At 35.8% G+C, this 19,209-nt stretch overlaps 1 long non-coding RNA gene across 1 annotated transcript; it reads left to right on the forward strand.

The window, feature by feature from the left end:
* Positions 1-2,707: 2,707 nt before the first annotated feature.
* On the forward strand, positions 2,708-14,027 carry LOC101927072 (uncharacterized). The gene is made up of 3 exons (XR_245442.5): positions 2,708-2,942; positions 6,472-6,641; positions 13,088-14,027. It is a non-coding gene; the product is annotated as an uncharacterized LOC101927072 (long non-coding RNA).
* The last annotated feature ends 5,182 nt before the right edge of the window (positions 14,028-19,209 follow it).

Consider the following 19,209-nt stretch of genomic DNA (forward strand, 5'->3'; position numbering starts at 1 on the left):
TGAATAGATAAGCTTAATTAACATTACATTTGCATTTAATAAGAAGGATTTACTTGAATTTGAATGTTCTCTCAGGTATGTGAAATATTCCTCATGCAATTTTATTTTCCTTTCATTAATTTTTTTCTTATATAAAACTAATGGAAAAAAAAGTAAAACCTCTAGTCACAAAATTCCAGTGTAGTGAGTTTCATTATACTCCTCTCTGCCCCATAAATGCACATAGTGAAATGAATTTTCAGTAAATGGCTTTCATACTGCCTGGATTTATAAAGCTAGATGTTTTTATAAATAACCTAAATAAGAATGGACAAATTTTAGGAGGAGTAACGATACAAATTGAGTTTATATTAGAGTGTTCTAGAATTATTGTTCTGTATGGAGAGTAATAAACTTAGAGAAACAAACAAACAAACAAAATAGGTATATGTGTTTCTCACAGTCCTACATTGTTTAGGTTATTGCAACAAATGTACATGTCTAAATTTCAATAATGTCACATTTTGAAATTTAAGTACAGTCTTTACTGGGTTGAAAAGTAGACAGCATAAATGGCACCAATGAGAAGTCCTTAACTGTTCTTGCTAAAAGATAAACTTAGGCACATTAAAATTTTAGAGTTTATTTGAGCAGAAAGCTCATGAATTGGGCAGGGCCAGATGGTAAGCATTTGGGATCTTCTGAGAGAATGCAAAGGGAAATTTTTATAATGTGTTCACGGAAGCAAGACAAAGAAAATATATTTGAGTGTTTAAAGTCCAAAGTCTCTAGTTAGAGGTTAGTTTGGTGGCTTCTGACTGGTTAAGCTTATGTTTTATTTTACTGTCTCCATTGAGTTGCACTTTGGTTTGCTTATGTAGGAGCCCAGCAGGGTGCTGGAGCATGTCAGCTTAATGGCCTTATGATGTTTTTGTTAACATTATAAAAGTACCTATTAGCAGTGGCTTATCCGCAGGTGTCTGAAGCAATGCGTAGGAAGGTCGAATTCCTTCTTGCCTCTTCAGAAGAAGGAACTCTACCGTGGGGCGTAAGAAAAGTGAGAGACCAAGGCTAATGTTAGAGCAGGAGTGAATGTCTATTGACAAGTATTAGAACAGGAACGAATGGAAGTACACTTAGAAGAAGGCCAAATGGATGACTTGAGAGGGTCAAGTGCACCTTTTGACCTTTGACTTGGATTTTATACATTGCCATGCTTCCGGAGGGTTACATCCCCTGATTCTTCCTTTGGGGTAGGCTGTCTGCATGTACAGCCGCCTGCCAGCACTTGGGAGGGGCCGCATGCGCACTGTGTTTACTGAAATTGTACCCATGCTCACTCGAGGTGTTCTTCCCTTACTAGTCCAGTGTTTCTAGAGGAAGGTCATATACCAGTTAAACTCCGCCATGTTGCCTCTTAGTGTGCATGCTCGAGCCCACTAACCTAACTCCTGAGATCTCATCGGAAAGCTGCTGATCACCAACTTCACGTGTTTCTATCTATTAGAAAACTGCCTTTCTCTGGAACTAGCTGCCACCAATTATTATTTTAGAGCGACAGTTTCACAACCGCCTGACCATCACCTGATGGTTGCCTGACATTCCTGGTGGCAGGTGTTTGGGGGGAGGCTCTCCTGCCCTGCTCAAGTCTGACGAGCTACCTACTGTAACATGTCCACTTAAACAAACAAACAAAACAAAACTAGATTAATGAAAACGTATTTTAGAGTATAAAAATTAATAAAACCTATTTTATATTGAATAAATTTCTACCTTTAAAACAGTGCTACTAATTTATGAACAGAAAATAATTCCATTACAAAATCTCTTATTTAAAAATATCTTTAATTATAGTGGAACCTAATACATATAAATAATTTCCCACGAAAAGGAACTTGCTCTTCACCAAAAAACGAAGAGCTATAAAACTAGTTAACCTCATTAGCTAACAAATTATTAAATTACTGAGGATTTTCACATGTTAGTAATTTGGTAATTTTAGTTGACATTTTCCAGTAATTGAATGCATTAGCAATATATTAGAAACAATTTTTTTATTAAAAAGTAACTCACTCTCAAATTGTTATGCAGCAATAATGCTCTTTGCCATGCAAATATTGAGCTGATATGACCACTAAATACAGAGTTTTATTTATGATGGGATTTGCTAGTTCCCCCCTTGGGGGATGAAATCCCCAATTGTTAGCATTATCGCCAGGTAGGGTACAAAATAAAAGCACTGGGTAACATGGAGGAAGTGGTCAATATCTCGTTAGTTCTGCTAAATAAGATTTGTACTGCAACACATCCTCAAGCTTTAGTCTATAAATTATGTGGAATCCTTACCCGCCAACTCAGGGACTTATTAGCAGCTGCTTTTCAAAAGGTAGGAGAAGAAATTGTTTCATGTGCTGAATTAAACCAGAGGTCTGGGTCCTGAAAAAGTAAAATACAAAATAAACATTTTATAGGTATGAAGATGCGTGAATGTAATTTTGTATAAAATCATATTCTATGATGATAGATAAATAATATGTTTGTAACTGTCCTTAAAATACAGACTACAAACATGGACAGAGAAGTGTATGAGATTATAATATATATTATGAAAAGAAAGATTGATAGGTATTTTTAAATGCCTTGGATTTATAAAGACTTTTTTTTTTTTTCCCGGTCCAATGCTGAGAGCTATCAGCTGACTGATGTACCCGGACCTTAAGTGTTCTTCAGTGCTCTGGAATTTGTTTTCCTGCTTAGTACCTAAAATAGTAACATGACATAAAGAACCTTTTATTAACACAACAATGATATTTTAAAAAGGAAGAATAATAATTTCCAAGAAAAAGTACAGGAATTTATTTTATGTCTTTTTGAATTTAGACAGAGAATTATTTCATAGACATCATTTAGACAAAGTTAGACTGGCCTGAATTTAACTGCAGGTCCTGAGACTTATTATTAAGGTAAGTGAAGGTGGGCCAGGTATTGGTAGTGTATTGGTAATGCTTTCTGATGGTCAGTTTGGCCATCTAATAAAATATGGGTTACAACGATTTCTAATGATAAATATTAATTAAAATTTTTTGGAAAGTCCCTAATGTATATACATTAGTGTCCCTCAAAAGGAATGTACCTCTAAATACGTAGGCTATTGCTGTTTTATTTTTATTCTTGTCCTTTTGCACTGTGCTAGCTCTAACTCACGCTTTTGTTATTACTCATTCATCAATAATTTACTATTTTAGGACCTTATAGTAATTATACCACCACCCTCTTCACAAACTTTCTCTGAATTTATTTGAGCAGATTTTCAAGGGATTTTATAATATTATTTTTACACAAATGATTTTTTTTTTCTTTCCCCACTTTCAAGAGGAAAGTTAAACTGTATAGCTCCCTATTTCTCAGATATTTCCTTCTCTGTTTCTTTACCCATGTCATTGTTCCCTGATTCTGTGGCCTTTCCCCTACTGTTTTTCTGGCCTATTAAAAATTTCCCACCTTCCAAGATTCTGCCAAATCCTGCATATAATTTGCACTGACCTTCATCTTTCTCCTCTCTTGTGTTATATTGTGTGTACAGTATTTTATAGCAGACATAAAAAATTGCTTTATGTTACAATAGGGTAAACTTTTCATCTACTTTCCTAAATTATAAATGTTACTAAGGCCCCAATACTATCCTGTAAATCCATGTAACCCTAGCATATATATATATATATATATATATATATACATTTTTTTTTCCGAAGAGCAATACTGTGATATTAAGCTTACCTGAAGCATGTTCTGCTCACAGAAATGAACTAGTTCTCAAATGAAAATCAGAAAATTTGATCTGTTTTTGTCCATTAAACCAAACACTTAAATATAGAATATATATTGCACTGTGTAATAATACTGCAGTCACAGTTTTATGTAACATACTTTCTGACAATTTGGAAAACATTGTTAATGTAAGAGCTGTAACCTTGAAACAATTTTTAATTTTTTTATATTTACAAAAGCTGAAGATATAACTTTGTGAAAAAAGATGTATCTATATCTATAAAATACCAAAACACACGTTATTGAAGAATTCTATAAATAAAGGTGCAAAGCAACTTCACAAGGCTTTTATTAGGAGATGATTATAAGCTAACCTTGAGGTTAACGGAAAGTTTGCTTCAGAGTACTTTAAAAAAAAAGAAAAACTTGAGCAAAGAGTAATACTCTGTGAGCCAATGTCACTAAACATTTTACAGTAAAAGAAATTATTTTATAATTAATATATCGTATAATATATTATTTGGATAAAAATTAGAAAGGGGCATGAAAATATATTCAGACTGATGTTTTTTGCAAGATGAATTTCACAGCAATATCCTACACCAGCTGGAGTTGATGCAGTTTCCTCTTGGGCCAGAAGCCAGCCGGGGGCTGCAGTAATTTAAGCTTGAAATAACCAAAGCATGAAGGACCATTTCACGGTCTCATTCAAACGGACATGATTGCAACCTAGTAGGGGGTCCTTTATGAGAAAGAATGATATACAATCTTCCCTAGAAAATTATTTTATTTCATTTCATTTTTATTTTAAATTGACAAATAGTAATTGTATATATTTATGGTGTACAATGTGAAATTTTAATATATGTATACATTGAAGAATGATTAAATCAAGGTAATTAACATATCCATAATTTTACAGGCTATAATTTTTTGTGGTGAGAAGATTTAAAATCTAGTCTTTGAGGAATTTTGAAATACAGGATTATTATTAACTATAGTCATTATGCTGTACAATAGAACTCAAAAGCTTATTCCAGAAAGAATAGGAGGCAATAATATTTATGATTATTTATTTTGGCTAGAAATCAAAACATTTAGTTCAATAAAAGAGAAAATCTTTAAAAATATATTATAAAGTAAAAGATAATTAAGAAAAAAGCAGCATATTGCAGCTTCAATTATTTCTGTAAATATAATTCCACAGTTTGTTGTGAAGTAAAAATTGTGAGAATTAAAATGGAGTCACTTGTATTAAAACAAAAAAAACTGTCAAATAAAGCCACAGAAGCCCATGAAGAGAATTGTCATGCATAAATGTCTGATGACAGAAACAATCACAAAAGAACCTAGAAAAAGCATCAACTTGCACAAAAATCATTACAAGCCTTTTACAAAAAATACTTCTGAGGACATCTGCCCAGCAACTGGTGGTCTAACTTCAGATTGGCATCACTCTTGATCCTTATGGCCAAGGGTAATTATTTCAGAATAATTACGTGATCCTCCTTATTCTTTCTTTAAAAGCCTTTGTCTCCTTTTACCTCCTGCATATGCACATAGTTTACTATAACATGCATATTCCCATCGCAATATCCTATGCCTGAATATCATTTTATTTTAGAGAGCCTGTCTTTATTGGTTATTTAGGTTGACAGTGAATCTATATCATATAACTATACTGTAAGTAACCTGTATGGCTAAAATACAGGCAACAAGCAAAATATGCTCCTCCTGATCATTATTCTGTGAGTAGACTTCAACTCCAGTAGAAACACTTTAAAAGTATAAAAGCAATAGGCAGTGTATCGAAGTGGTTGAATTAAGAGTTAACAGTAATATACAATTTGTTATAAAACACATTCAAAAATGTTTTTAAAAATCAATCTTATCACACAGACTGAAAAGAGAAGATATAAGTGTCTTTGATCTAAACCTCAGCTCAAAGCCTAAGGGATGAAGGGGATTATATTTTGAAAGCAAGAGAGGAGACTATCAAGAAGCAACCAAAAAAGCCAGTAACATATATTTGGTGCTGACAAAAGCAGAAGAGTCTTGCCATATTTATTTGTTTTATTCATGTGTCAAAGGAGTCAAGATTTCCTGAGCCTCAGATTTATCTGTAATAGATAAATCAGACATTCCTATTTTAGCTTTTATCATTGGTTTTTGACCTACATACAGATCTTCAGATTTGTCATCAGAAAAACATTTGAAACAAGCATAACCTTCTAGTCTGATGATGATTGTTTTTGAGAAATCAGAAAGTAGCAGAAGCACAATAAATTGTTATCAGTAATCTAAGGTGTCTTCAGCACCCCAGCAATGATAAGTGTTGATTTACAGGAGCTATACTGGGAAATCATACAAACATCAATTGTGTCATATGTCCACACATCTACCCTTCAGGCCAGAGGAGAAGTTTATTTCTTCCCCACTTCCCAAATGTCATGTGACTGCATTATTTTGACAAAATTCAAACCAGAGTATTGCTGACAACCATGTCTAGAAACATGATTCTAGTTTCCCATTGCTTAGGAAAATAGAAAAAAAATTTAGAAGAGCATACATGACAGGAGTATCCTGGAAAATCTAGTATCCAGAAGTTCGATTATTAGTTATCAATTAGGAAAAAGTAATACAATTTTTAGCAAAGTGTAGATGCTGGATATGATGAGTATAAAAATATCCAGAATATGTTTTATATGTTTTATTATCTTTCAGGTCATATTTGCCAATGTCTGGTGAGAAATAGACTGGGAAGATGAAAAGCATCAAAAGATTTCTAAGGGCTACCAAGATTATTGAGGGGATACTGAAGAACATGTTTTTTATTTAAATATTTCCTAGGACTGACCTTCACTCTTTTTTCAGTGAATCTACCATTAAAAAGGGTAAGTACATTCATATGTAACCAGAGCTTATAACCTAGTTATATAGTTCAGAAACATCTCTGGAAAATAGTGACTGGACATATCTGCTGAAGTTGAAAAACAAATAATAGTAAATTGAGTCATAATGTGACCATCAGATTTGTTAAGAATTGAAAAATAAAACAGTAAAATTTATAACTAAAATTATCTTTAAAAATAAACTAGTCTAACAATTTTATTTCAAAAATAAGAAAACTGAGGCTCAGAGAAGTGAAGTGCCTCTCTGCATACATGCGTGCATACATGTGAAATTGATACATGTGTGCATTTTTTAAAAACTGTCTCCTTGTAACCAAGTCCAAGCTCATACAACTTGCCATGTGACAGCCAGTAAATTGAGAGACAGGGTGTTGGGGCAAGGAAAGTCACTTTATTTGGAAAGCTAACAAACAAGAAGATGATGGACCAGCATCCTAAAGAACCATCTTAAATTAACATAAACTTCAGGCTCATTTTTATGTTAAAGGAAGGGAAAAAACAGGTGTTGAGGTCAAGATGTAATGATGACCACAGTAATGTGGGGATCAGGGAGGGTCTGAGGAGGTTGTGAAACTTCTTTGTTTTTGGTCAGTTGACTGTGGTTCAGATGAAGTAGATCAGGTCATGATGTTTCTATTAATCTTTAACAAAATGCTATTAATTGTGTATACACTTCCTTATCTCCTTAGGAGTTAGTTTTGAGACAGGCACTATTATCATTTTTCCCCTAAAGTTAAACTACAAGCTCAAGCCCTCCTATAATTAGCTGGTCTACATGCAAAGGTAAGCAGAAGCTTTTAACATAAAGGATATTCCACAGTTGGGGGGTCAAAGGCAAAATGGAGTCAGTCATGCTAAGCCTCTTGCCACTATTAGATTCTTATTTCTAAGATTCTGCTCTTGTTATGACACCATCTTTAGGTTATATAGTAGACAGCTTTTGTTTTTACCCATTTGGCATCCATTTATTTAATTTTAGTAATGACTCCTGTCTTGGTTTGAGAACAGTCATACTTTCGCTGGATATATTCCTTATTGCAACATTAATCAGCTTGTCAGAAAACTCTGCCAAATTTTGTGCATCTGACAAAGCTAGGCTAAATAGATGCTCTATCCTTTCAAATTAAGGTAAGGTACACAGGACTGAAAAAGTGAATAGTCTATATCTACAGTCGTATACTAAAAAGACTGCACTAAATTCTGCATAAAGCTCATCTCCTCTTTAAGAATAGATTATTTCCCACTCAAATTACGTGATATAATTTACATAATTCCAAAAAGCTCCTTATGCTTACATTAGGCATTTTATTATTGTTACTTGAGATCAATTCTTCGCATGCAAAAATTGTTTCCAGAGAATGATTGCTCAGATCAGGTGGCCAGGAGCATGTAAATGATCCAATAATGTGGTGATAGAGTAAAAGACAGTGATATTCTAGTTCATGTTACAGAACGGGCATATTAACCCATGATAATGCAACTGGAGTGAGGATATCTTAGAATGAGACTTGGAAACATCCAAACTTTCAGTTTCCCCTAAACACACTCAGTAGTTCATGAAGATTTCCTTACTTGTAAGACAAAACCAAGAAGGCCTTCTAGAGTTCATACTTGTTTATTATTATGCAATCTAACAGGTGCTTTTGATATCAGTAAGTGTGTAGCATAGTAAAAGCAGAGACCAGATGGAATCATGCAATCACCATCAAATATTGAATAATTTTAATTATCATAGACAACTAGAAATACTCAGTAATCATAGATACAAAAGTAGTCCAAACCTCAGAAATCTCTAGATGTGGATAAATAATTTGTATGAACACCCCACTAGCAATAACAGGCAAAAGAAAGGAAAATTTATTCTTGTGAACATAGCTATGATTTGAGACACTCTGTGAAATAATTCCAACTATAATTTTCAGGCTTGAGTTGCTTCAAAGACTGAGTCCCTTAAATGTAAGTACCTTTGGGGAATATTTCTGCTATAAAATCACAAGTGCATATTTAAACTATCCTCTTGTCCTTGCCCAAAGTGTCCTATGATTATTAATATAGGAGACTGCATCTTTTAGACAAGCAAAATAACTAAATATGTTAAGGGAATATTTAATTCCGAACTTACTTGAATCACATAGAAATTTGGACACCACCACTGTCCATGAGACAGACTGTGGTATTATGGAGAACAGATGACAAATGTAGTTTGATTTAATAGTGAAATCCTTTACCTAGACATGTCTGTTACCTCTATAGTAGAAAAAGTTATATTCAGCTCCTTGAAGAATCCTAATATAATTAGAATTACTTTGGTTGTGGTGCTAAATAAAAGACATTGAATCTTTTGCTATTTACCTTGTGTATTCTTGCATCAACCACTTGAAACCCTCAGGAGTGAGATTTCTAACTTCTAAATCTGTCAGTGCTAATTGTTAATCAGGCAATTATAGCTGTTATTCCAGATGTAGACTTCTTATAAATTAATATGGTTGGCTAGCCATGGTGGCTTACACCTCTAATCCCAGCACTTTGGGAGGCCGAGGTGGGCAGATCACAAGGTCAAGAGATTGAGACCATCTTGGCCAACACGGTGAAACCCCATCTCTACTATAATAGAAAAAAATTAGCCAGGTGTGGTGGTGTGTGCCTGTAGTTCCAGCTACTTGGGAGGCTGAGGCAGGGGAATCGCTTGAACCCAGCAGGCGGAGATTGCAGTGATCCAAGATCGTGCCACAGCCCTCCAGGCTGGGCGACAGAGGGAGACTCCGTCTCAGAAAAAAAAAAAAAAAAATTAATATTGTCTTTAGCTGCTAGTATATGGTTATCAGTTTGGCAAAAACTTTCATCTATATTATGAAGAATAAAGTATATTATATTAGTAGAAATTGAACAAAGACGCCAAGACGGCTATAAAATAAAGGATTTATTATAGGGATTAAACTGTGTAATTATGGGGGCTGACGGAGAATTCTCTAAAAGGCAATTGTGTATTAGAATTTAAGACACCGTAGTTAAGCTAGGTTCATGTTTTTTCAGATCTTTAGTCAAGAAGGAAATCTGGATATAAAATGGCAGAGAGCAAGGAAAACTGAAACCCTCAACATTATCAAACTTTCAAAGAAAACATGGAATGTAGGAGGAAAAACTAAAAGACACATATGTCTAGTGGAAATACAGAGTTGGGTCGTAGTAGTTCATAAGAGCCAATTGTTAATTTCCAGAATTTGTTGTGACAGTGAACATCCTAGTGGTAGGTGAAAATTGCCAAAGGGGGGAGACTTTTCATCATAGAAACTGGCAAATTCTAATTAGAACTTTTATTTTCTGGGAAGCCAGCTATTAAATATTCACTACTGACTCTAAATCTTGCTCAATTTTTCCATATTGTAAACCCTACTTCAGAAGTATTCAGAGAAAGGGATTCTAGAAAATGTAGTTCCAACTGAGCTAGTTTGACAAAGTACAAAGCCAGTGCACAGCCAGATGCAATGTTTCCACTTGTCGGGGATGCTATGGCTCCTTTCCATTTTACATAAAAGATATGTCAACTCTCTAATATGGCAATTTCTCAGAATGTGCCAATCATTTGCCAGGCTGATGATACTGTGCTGGTAGAATCTGAAAAATATGTGGCAGTCAGATTCCTAACTAGGGAATCTCACCATAAATTCCCTTGGTGGCTTGGAGCCCATTTATCTATAACATTGTGGGGGACTGAATTTTATTCCTGACTCTTCATGTCCCCGTTAGTAGTAGTACGAACTGCACACTTGCAACATTTTCATTGTGAGTGGAGTACACTTCTACTTTCCTAGACCATGAATTTCTGCTAAGCCATGTGACTTGCTTTAGCCAATGAGATGAAAGTATCAGCATGAAATATGTATGGATGTTTGGATTAGTGCATTTGTGCTTCTGCTACTGCAACATGGCAAGAAATACTCCAGACAGCCACTATTTCTGAAGCCTGACGCCAAGCCCAGCTGAGCTGAGCTGAGGCCAGCTGAGTTCACAGAAATTTTCAGCTAACCTGCAAATCTGTGACTTGAAGCAGAACCATACCAGCTGACCTAGAGAGCTATAGAAAAGAAGATAAAAGCTTACCATTGGATGCCAGTAGGCTTTGGGGGAGGGAGATATTAATAAGCATTATTGGGCAAGAGTTAACTAACACAGCCACTTTGTAAAAAGCTGATTTTTCTTACAATGTTTTTAAATTAACTAAAAATATATGGCTTAAAATAGATTTGATACAATCGTTTATAATATATTAGTTTGAATTTAGGCAAAAATGTATTTAAAATATAGAGAATCATATAATCATCTTTCCAGGGCAGTGGGAAAGAACAGAACATGCGTGCAGTTGATGGCAAAGATATTCCACTTGTAAAAAAAAAACCTCTGTTGGAAGTATTTTTCTTGTCCTGACTTGTGAGAAAGGATACAACCTCTCCTGGAATCTGACAACACTTCACTACCTCTTTTCTGTACATTCAACGGGCATCATATCCTGCCCTGAGAGCCAATAATCTACTCTTACATTACCTTTTAGCATCATCCTTGTTTCTTGACACTGAAATGAGGGGAAATAGCATGACAAATATATTTTTCTTAAATATTATAATGCTTTGTGTAACTTTCCTAGTGATGCTGTAACAAATGGCCACAAACTCGGTGATTTAAAACAATGGAAATTTATTTTTACATGATTCTAAAGACTAGAGGTTTGAAATCAAGGTTTCCACAGGTTCACTCTCTCTCTGAATGGTGTATGGAAAAACCATTTCTTTCCTCTTCTTAGCTTCTGGTGGCTCCAATAAATCCTTGCCATTTCTTAGCTCCTGGCTGTGCTCCAATCTCTTCCTCTGTCTTTGTATATTATTTTCTCTGTGTGTTTGTTTCCTGTACTCTTTTTATCATGTAACCAAATAATTGAATTTAAGGCTTACCTAATCCTCTATGGCTTCACCTTAACTAATTACAACTTCAAAGACCCTATTTCCAATAAGGTCAAATTCCGAGGTTCAGGGTAGATATGAATTTTTGGAAATAATTATTAAGACCATTATAGTCTGCCCTATCATCCCCTAAAATTCACATCTGTCTCTCATGCATTCACCTCATCTCAATATCCCCCAACACATTCCAGCATTAACTCTAAATCCAAAATCTCATCTAAACTTCAACTCAAAATAATCTAAATTTTATCTGGATCAGGTAGGTGACACTCTGGGTATGTTCTTGGGCAAAATTGTTTTCTATCTATGGAACTATAAAAGTCAAAAACAAGTTACCTGCTTATAAAATACAATGATGGGACTGGCAAAGGGTAGGCATTCCCCCTTAGAAGGGGAGAAAATGGGAAAAATAAAGGGAGCACTGCTCTAAAGCAAGTTAGTTCATAGCTAAGCAGAGCAGATTCCATCAAATATCAAGATCTGAATTATTCCAAGAATCTTCTGTGGCTTGATACTCTGTCCTTTGGGTCCTGGGCAGCAGGAGTGCCCCCACCTTATTCATAACAAACCATGTCACATCTTGGTGGCTTAAATGACAATTTATTATTATCTTGAAGGGTTTCATAGGTTAACTTGGCACAGCTGGTGGTACTTGCTTGGGTCGCTCATGAAATTGCAAACAGATTGCATCTGAGGCTGGAATCCCTTGAATGCTCAACTGGTCTGGACATGCCAGATGGTCGGCTCAAAATACCAACAATTGATATTTACCCTTGGATGGGGCTGTTTACTGGATCCTGCACATGGTGTCTCCGTGTGACTGGGCTCTCAAAACATGGCAGCTGTGTTCTGGGAGGGAACATGCCAAGAACAAGAGTCTCCAGAAGCAGAAATATGAAGTTACTGGGCAAATTGGAGGCTACTCTCTGAGCAACCACATTGTCACTTCTGCCATATTTCATTGGTCAAAGCAGTCATGAGCCTTGTCAGATTCAAGAGAGTTAACAGACAAAATCTATATCTTAATACAGGAGTGACAAAGGCATGTTGCAGAAGAGAATATGGGATGAGAGCTACTATTTTGACCATCTTCCTAACTAGAGCCACCAGGTTCTTAAATATATTTTCTATTTTCCATGTTATTGCAAACTGTTGCAGACTGTGTTGTTATACCTTCCAATACTGTATAATATAGGTCATGTTTTCCTCCATCCTCCACTACAATATTTTCTTACATTTCTTTTGTCTCCTCAAGGCTTCCGTGCTTTTGCCTATTGCCTATTCATAATACTAATGTCATATGTTGAGGATATTTTTTAGAATAGAACCTCAAGTCCAGAAACCAATTTCTGTTCCAGTTATCTATTCTTGCATACCAAGCACCCCAATATGTAGCAGTATAAAGCAATCATTTATTATTAGCTTTTGTATTTCTGTAGGTTGTCTGGGCTTAACTAAGTTATTCTTATTCAGGTACCTCATCTATTACACTCAGGAGCAGCTACAGCTAGAGTCACCAAGAAGGGTCGCTGACATGGTAGTTGATGCTAGCAGGTCAGCTGGGAGGTCAGCTGCGGCTTTCTGGCAGAGTATCTACATGTGGTCTCTCTCTCAAGGTGACTTGGACTTCAAACAGGATGGTACCCATGTCCCACTGGAGAACAACTCAAGCATCAATATTCCAAAATTTGTGATGCTTCAAGATTGATTGAGGATCAATCACAGTTTCCCAGAACTGGAAAGGTCCTACTTTTCCCCTGCTCTACTTGTTAAGCTGCCTCCACAGCCTGCTCATGTTCAAGGGCCTGGAGAAATAAAATGTTTCTTCATGAAAGCATGGCAATGTCACATTGCAGAAGTGCATGTGGGAATAAACATATTGTTGTGGCCAACTTTGGAAAATATAAATTCTCAAAATCACTTTGGAAAGGGTTTCTCTTTTGACAGAAATCAAAAGGTAACCATCTAAAAGCACTTCTCCTTTCATTCTGGGCACAGAGCTGGATAATATTTCTAATTTCTGTAACTCTTAGGAATGGCTATATCACTTACATTTAGCCAATGGAATGCACACACAAATGTGTATTCCACCCCCTGGTCTGAGCCATAGTTCTCCGCAGTGATATCCCTCATATTATTTCTCTTTTCACTTTACTATTGTGACAATGCCTAGGGAAACCTAGGGAGGCATATGTTAAAGTTGGCAGAATTTCTGTGACCCTGAGTCTAATTTGATCCTCAATGACTTTCATCCCTGTGTTGAGTGTGAGCAAAATCTATCAATAGGATGAGATAGTACTTCCATGAGTACGTTATAGTTTATAGCAAATGAGATTTTTACAGTGTAATTAGAGTTGGAAATCACTGCTTTTTAACTGTGTCAAATGAGTCATTAAACTTGTCCTCTGTGTAATTTTTGTTGTTTTTTCTTTTATTTCGTTGCCTTGTTACTAATGTTATATCTTATGGTTAACTTGGCCCTGTACATATCTTTAATTTTAATTTTATTTTTTCAGAAATAGTAAATGAATTTGTTTTAAATTTTGTATCCAGTAATTCCAGTCTCCTAACACATGATGCCTCTCTTTTTGTTTTTTCAACCTTCAGTTTCTTATTTCCAATTATGGCATGTTTTCTTCAAATACTTGTGGGATATCTCTGAAGCCTGGAGTGCAGATTTTTCAAACTGTCCATTCACACTTTTTAGTTGTTTCAGTGGAGGTTTCGTCTAAATATTCTGGTGCATTGTATTATTGGAATTGTATATCTCAAATAATATGTCTTGCTTTCACTTAACCTGGAACAAGAGCTGATGTGAGGTCAACATATAAAAAAAAATTATTGGCCGGGCGCGGTGGCTCACGCCTGTAATCCCAGCACTTTGGGAGGCCAAGGAGGGCGGATCACGAGGTCAGGAGATCCAGACCATCCTGGCTAGCACGGTGAAACCCCGTTTCTACTAAAAATACAAAAAATTAGCCGGGCGTGGTGGCGGGCGCCTGTAGTTCCAGCTATTCCGGAGGCTGAGGCAGGAGAATGGCGTGAACCTGGGAGGCGGAGCTTGCAGTGAGCTGAGATCGCGCCACTGCACTCCAGCCTAGGTGACCAAGCAAGACTACGTCACAAAAAAAAAAAAAAAAAAAAAATTATTGGCAGTGGCTACTTATCCAGCCAAGTGTGAGGTAACCTGCCTATGGTAAACGTAGATGGTTAATGTCAAACTTGTTTAGGAAAAAAGTAAATAAATAGACCTATTTTAATTACTTAGAAATTAAGACTATCCATGGACTGTGTATGATTATCAAGAGATGTACATTACAAATTAGGTTATTTAAAATTTGCCAGAGAAGGTGACCACTTTAAGATTAATGAGTTCATGAACAGAATGAGAATTGTGACAAAACTGCTGCCTACAAATGGGCCCAAAAATATGGGCTATTCTCACCATAGATATCCCTGCCTCTGCTACTGCAAGATTTTCTACAGGCAATCACTAACAAAAAATCACTATGTGCTCCTAATATGTCAGAATAGTTAGTGATTTTTTAATGCAATAAGCAATTATTTTGTAATTTTTAAATTGTACTTATTCTCAGACTTCTTCCACTATTATAATTTGGAAATTCATTGAAGATTTTTAAGATGTCTCACACAGCCTTGCTTATACCTCATATATCACTGGAGGAGCTAGTACACATGAAATATACTCTTCCTAACACATTTACCTTACTATGGAATTAATTTGCTTTTACTGTAGATTGGTGATGTGGCTTTTGAAAGTCAAGTTATAGCATGAGTAATGTGACAATGCATTGAGATGCAATGCTTTCTAGCAGAATGTAGAATATACTATAAATTCGTAACTTATATATGATTTTTTTCCTTCCATGTCAAGACTACATGTTGCTTGGAAACAAGGTATGGGAGTGTAGGAAGAGTCTTCTATGATTATTCCTAAACATGTTGCCCAAGTATTTGCTTATCATGACACTGTGCTACCTTCTTAGAGATATTCTAATATTAAAACAAGATGTACTTTCACCAGAGATTGCTTCTGAGACAGTAACTTGTTCATTCTCAATTTTTTATAACACAACCATTAACGGAAAAAAGAGGGGAAATGCTGTGATGATTGGAGTGATTGACTCAAACTGACACATAGAAATAGGTATGCTACCACATGGTAAACATTGAGAGAAGCATTGATAAAAACTGAAGAGATTTGGCTGGGCACGTTGTCTCGTGCCTGTAATCCTAGTACTTTGAAAGGTCGAGGTGGGTGGATCACCTGAGCTCAGGAGTTCGAGACCAGCCTGGGCAACACGGTGAAACCCCGTCTTTACTAAAAAATAACAAAAAAAATTTAGCCGAGCCCAAGCCTGGTGGCGTACGCCTGGCGGGCCGCTCCTGTAGTCCCAGCTACTAGGGAGGTTGAGGCAGGAGAATTGCTTAAACCCGGGAGGCAGAGGTTGAAGTGAGCCGGGATCGCTCCACTGCACTCCAGCCTGGGCGACAGAGCAAGACTCTGTCTCAAAAACAAAAACAAAACAAAACAAAGAAACCTGAAGAGCTTCTTAGGTCACATTACGTTCTGATGTGGATGGTGACAGCTTTAGTGATTTGAGGGTGGAAGAGGTGATGCTGCAGGATGTACTTCCAATAGAGCTTTTTTAACTTAGTGCTTGGTGCCTTAACATACGTGAGTGGAAGGCTCCACTCATCTGGATCTGATGTTCAGAAGTGTTAATATAGTCTCTCTAGCATAATGACCTCTGCATAGCTGGGATGCAACTCAGCTCAGTTTTACAGTGCATAAGGTGGAAACTACATGGCATTTCATGACCTAGGCTTGAAAATTACATAGCACCACCAGCTGCTGAACTTAGTTTGTCAAAGCAGGCATAAAATCACCCTCATCCAAGCCAGAGTGACATAGTCTCAACCTCTCTATAGGATGTGCCACAATGTGCGCACCTATTTTCTAAAGCCCTATAACCCACCCTGTGCTCACAAATTATTTTTATGCTTCCTGCATATAAAATAAACTCCCTCCCTCCCATGATCCCCCAAAAGTCCACCCCTTTTATGACATTAGGCTCAGGCTTAAGTTCTAGGATTGCTTCATCGATATCAGGTCAAAATGCATATGAGACTCCTCAGTCTTTGTTCTTTAGTATAACTTCTATCAATCTGAAAACTAATGAACTAGAGACAAATTACCTGCCTCTCTCATAATGAACATAAAATGCAAGAAAAGACATTGCATAACTGTAATAGCCCATAAGCAAAATAGCAAAAGGGAAGGTGCTCACTTTTTGTAGCAAATCTGAAATCAAGCCAAGCGGATATAGCTGGGATTATTATTATTATTATTATTATTATTATTATTATTATTAGACTCCTGTCTTACTTCCTGGGAATGGTTGTCCATGATTTTAGGCAGAGGAACTAACTCTCCACCTTAGTCATCCTTGCCTTTCCATAAGAAATACAACTATAACAGATAATTTTCTCAGTCCCCTTACTACCTATCAAAGTTTGGGGCTTCATTTTAATGTTTTACTCTGTTCCTTTACTCCAAGCTGTGTTTTCAGAGAGTGTTTTATAATCTTCTATATAATTCAGTCCATTAGACTAAAGCCATACACACAAATCTCACTGAAAGTCACCCTTCTTTACTTTAGTTTCCTCTGAGTTTGCTGTGAGAAAACAGCAAGAAGATTCATAATAATCATATTGTTTGAGAGAAGAACCACAAAGCACACCCTTCAGAACTTTTTTTCTATCTGAAATATCTTATGATGCATAAGCTTAAATCTTTTTCATAATATTGCCTAAGGGATTTATAGTTACAGTCTTGGCTAAATCTTTATCCTGACAGTACTTTTCATTTTATCTTAATATTGTGTCTTATTTAAAGCATCTTTAAAGGAATCTTATCCCAGGACAGATTTCAGATGAAAGATAGCTTTATTTTTGAACACAGCATGTTTAATTACCTTTATAATTTTCTCTAAATTTTTCCTGAAAATTAGAGAATTTCATCTTTACCGTGTCTCTAGATTTCTACCACATAATATGCAGCCAGAAGAAGCCAGTTCCGCTTCTACCAATGACGTGTTCACTTTCCATAGCCAGTTTCTGATAGTTCAACAGACATATTTTTTACTTTCCACTTAATGCAGGTAAACATTTGCTAAATGTAGTGTAGTAGATTACAAGGGTCTCTGTTCCTGCAGTTTTTATAACATTTTTCTTACTTGAAGTTGTCATTAACAACCTTCTGGGGGCCTATCAGGCTTCTGTTAACAGTGTCTTCAAAACTCTACCTCATTCTGCCTGTCACGTGGTCACAAACCCAGTATTATACAGTTTCAGATTTTTCTTACAGTAGCCTCTCACTTCCAGGTAACTTGGTTTGCATGGAACTTGGAGGAATAGTGCTGGAGTATCCACTTCCAAGGCAGTTTCTTTACCATGATGTTTGGCATATTGGTTGAGTTGGATGGAAGGCTGGAATTAGCTGGCAGAGAGCTGACCTATGAGTTCTTCAGAATGGCAGCGTCATGGTATTTGAACTTCTTTCATGATAGCTCAATGTTTTGGCAAAATAAATGTCAAATCTGCATTACCTTTTAGGCTTAGAAGTCATTTCTGCAGTTGTATATGGGTCAAAGCAGTGGCAAGCCCATTCATGTTCAAGAATTTCAAAAAAATTGGTGGCCAGGTTCTAAGATCACCATATTGGAAATTCCATTTATACATGTAAAGCATCTGAGAGACAGAATGAGTGGATTTTATTTGTTCCTTTTTGGAAATAGGGGTGGAAAAAAGGAACGGAATAGGAAAAAGGGACGTAAGGACCATAAAGTTAGCTGATTTCCTCAGGATAACTGCAAATAAGTGGTGGAACTAGAAAATAACACTACGTACTCTTTTTACTTTTCTGCTACTTTTGGAGTAAAGGGAATGGAAAAGAATAAGTTATGGCTCAAATCAGTTTGTTTCTCAATATGTCCAAATTCAGCATGAAAAGGAAAGAAATGGTAAGACAGAAAGCCCAAAGTAAACTATGCTTTTCTGAATATTTTGTTGAATATAGCTCAAGCTTTTTGAGAACTTGTTTCTCTTGGTATATTGCATTATACTTAACTTGGGAAGTCTTTTTTCTGCACATGCATCTGCTCTACAAATAAATTATACAATTCTCAAGGACAAAGTAACTGGTTAGTTTATATCATTTTCCAACATTTCCCACAATGAGTTCATAAATGTTAATTCCATTTTGGCAATTACATAAAATGTATAATTATTTGGAAACAATTCACATGCTTTTTCTGTCTTTGTAGGCATGTGAATGTTCAAATATGAAACATTTATATTGCATTAATATATTTTACATTTTATTAAATGCTCAAAATTATATATTGACTAAATTTTGGATATAAACTTAGTAAATCCCATAATTAACACACCATACCATAATAATCAGGACAAAATAAAATGTCTGATATTGACCTACTTTTGTTTTCACTAAAATAATCATAAATTTTACATTCATATTATTATAGAATTGTCTAGAAACAAGTAATGAT

This window comes from Homo sapiens, chromosome 13 (genome assembly GCF_000001405.40).
Source record: "Homo sapiens chromosome 13, GRCh38.p14 Primary Assembly".
NCBI lineage: Eukaryota > Metazoa > Chordata > Mammalia > Primates > Hominidae > Homo > Homo sapiens.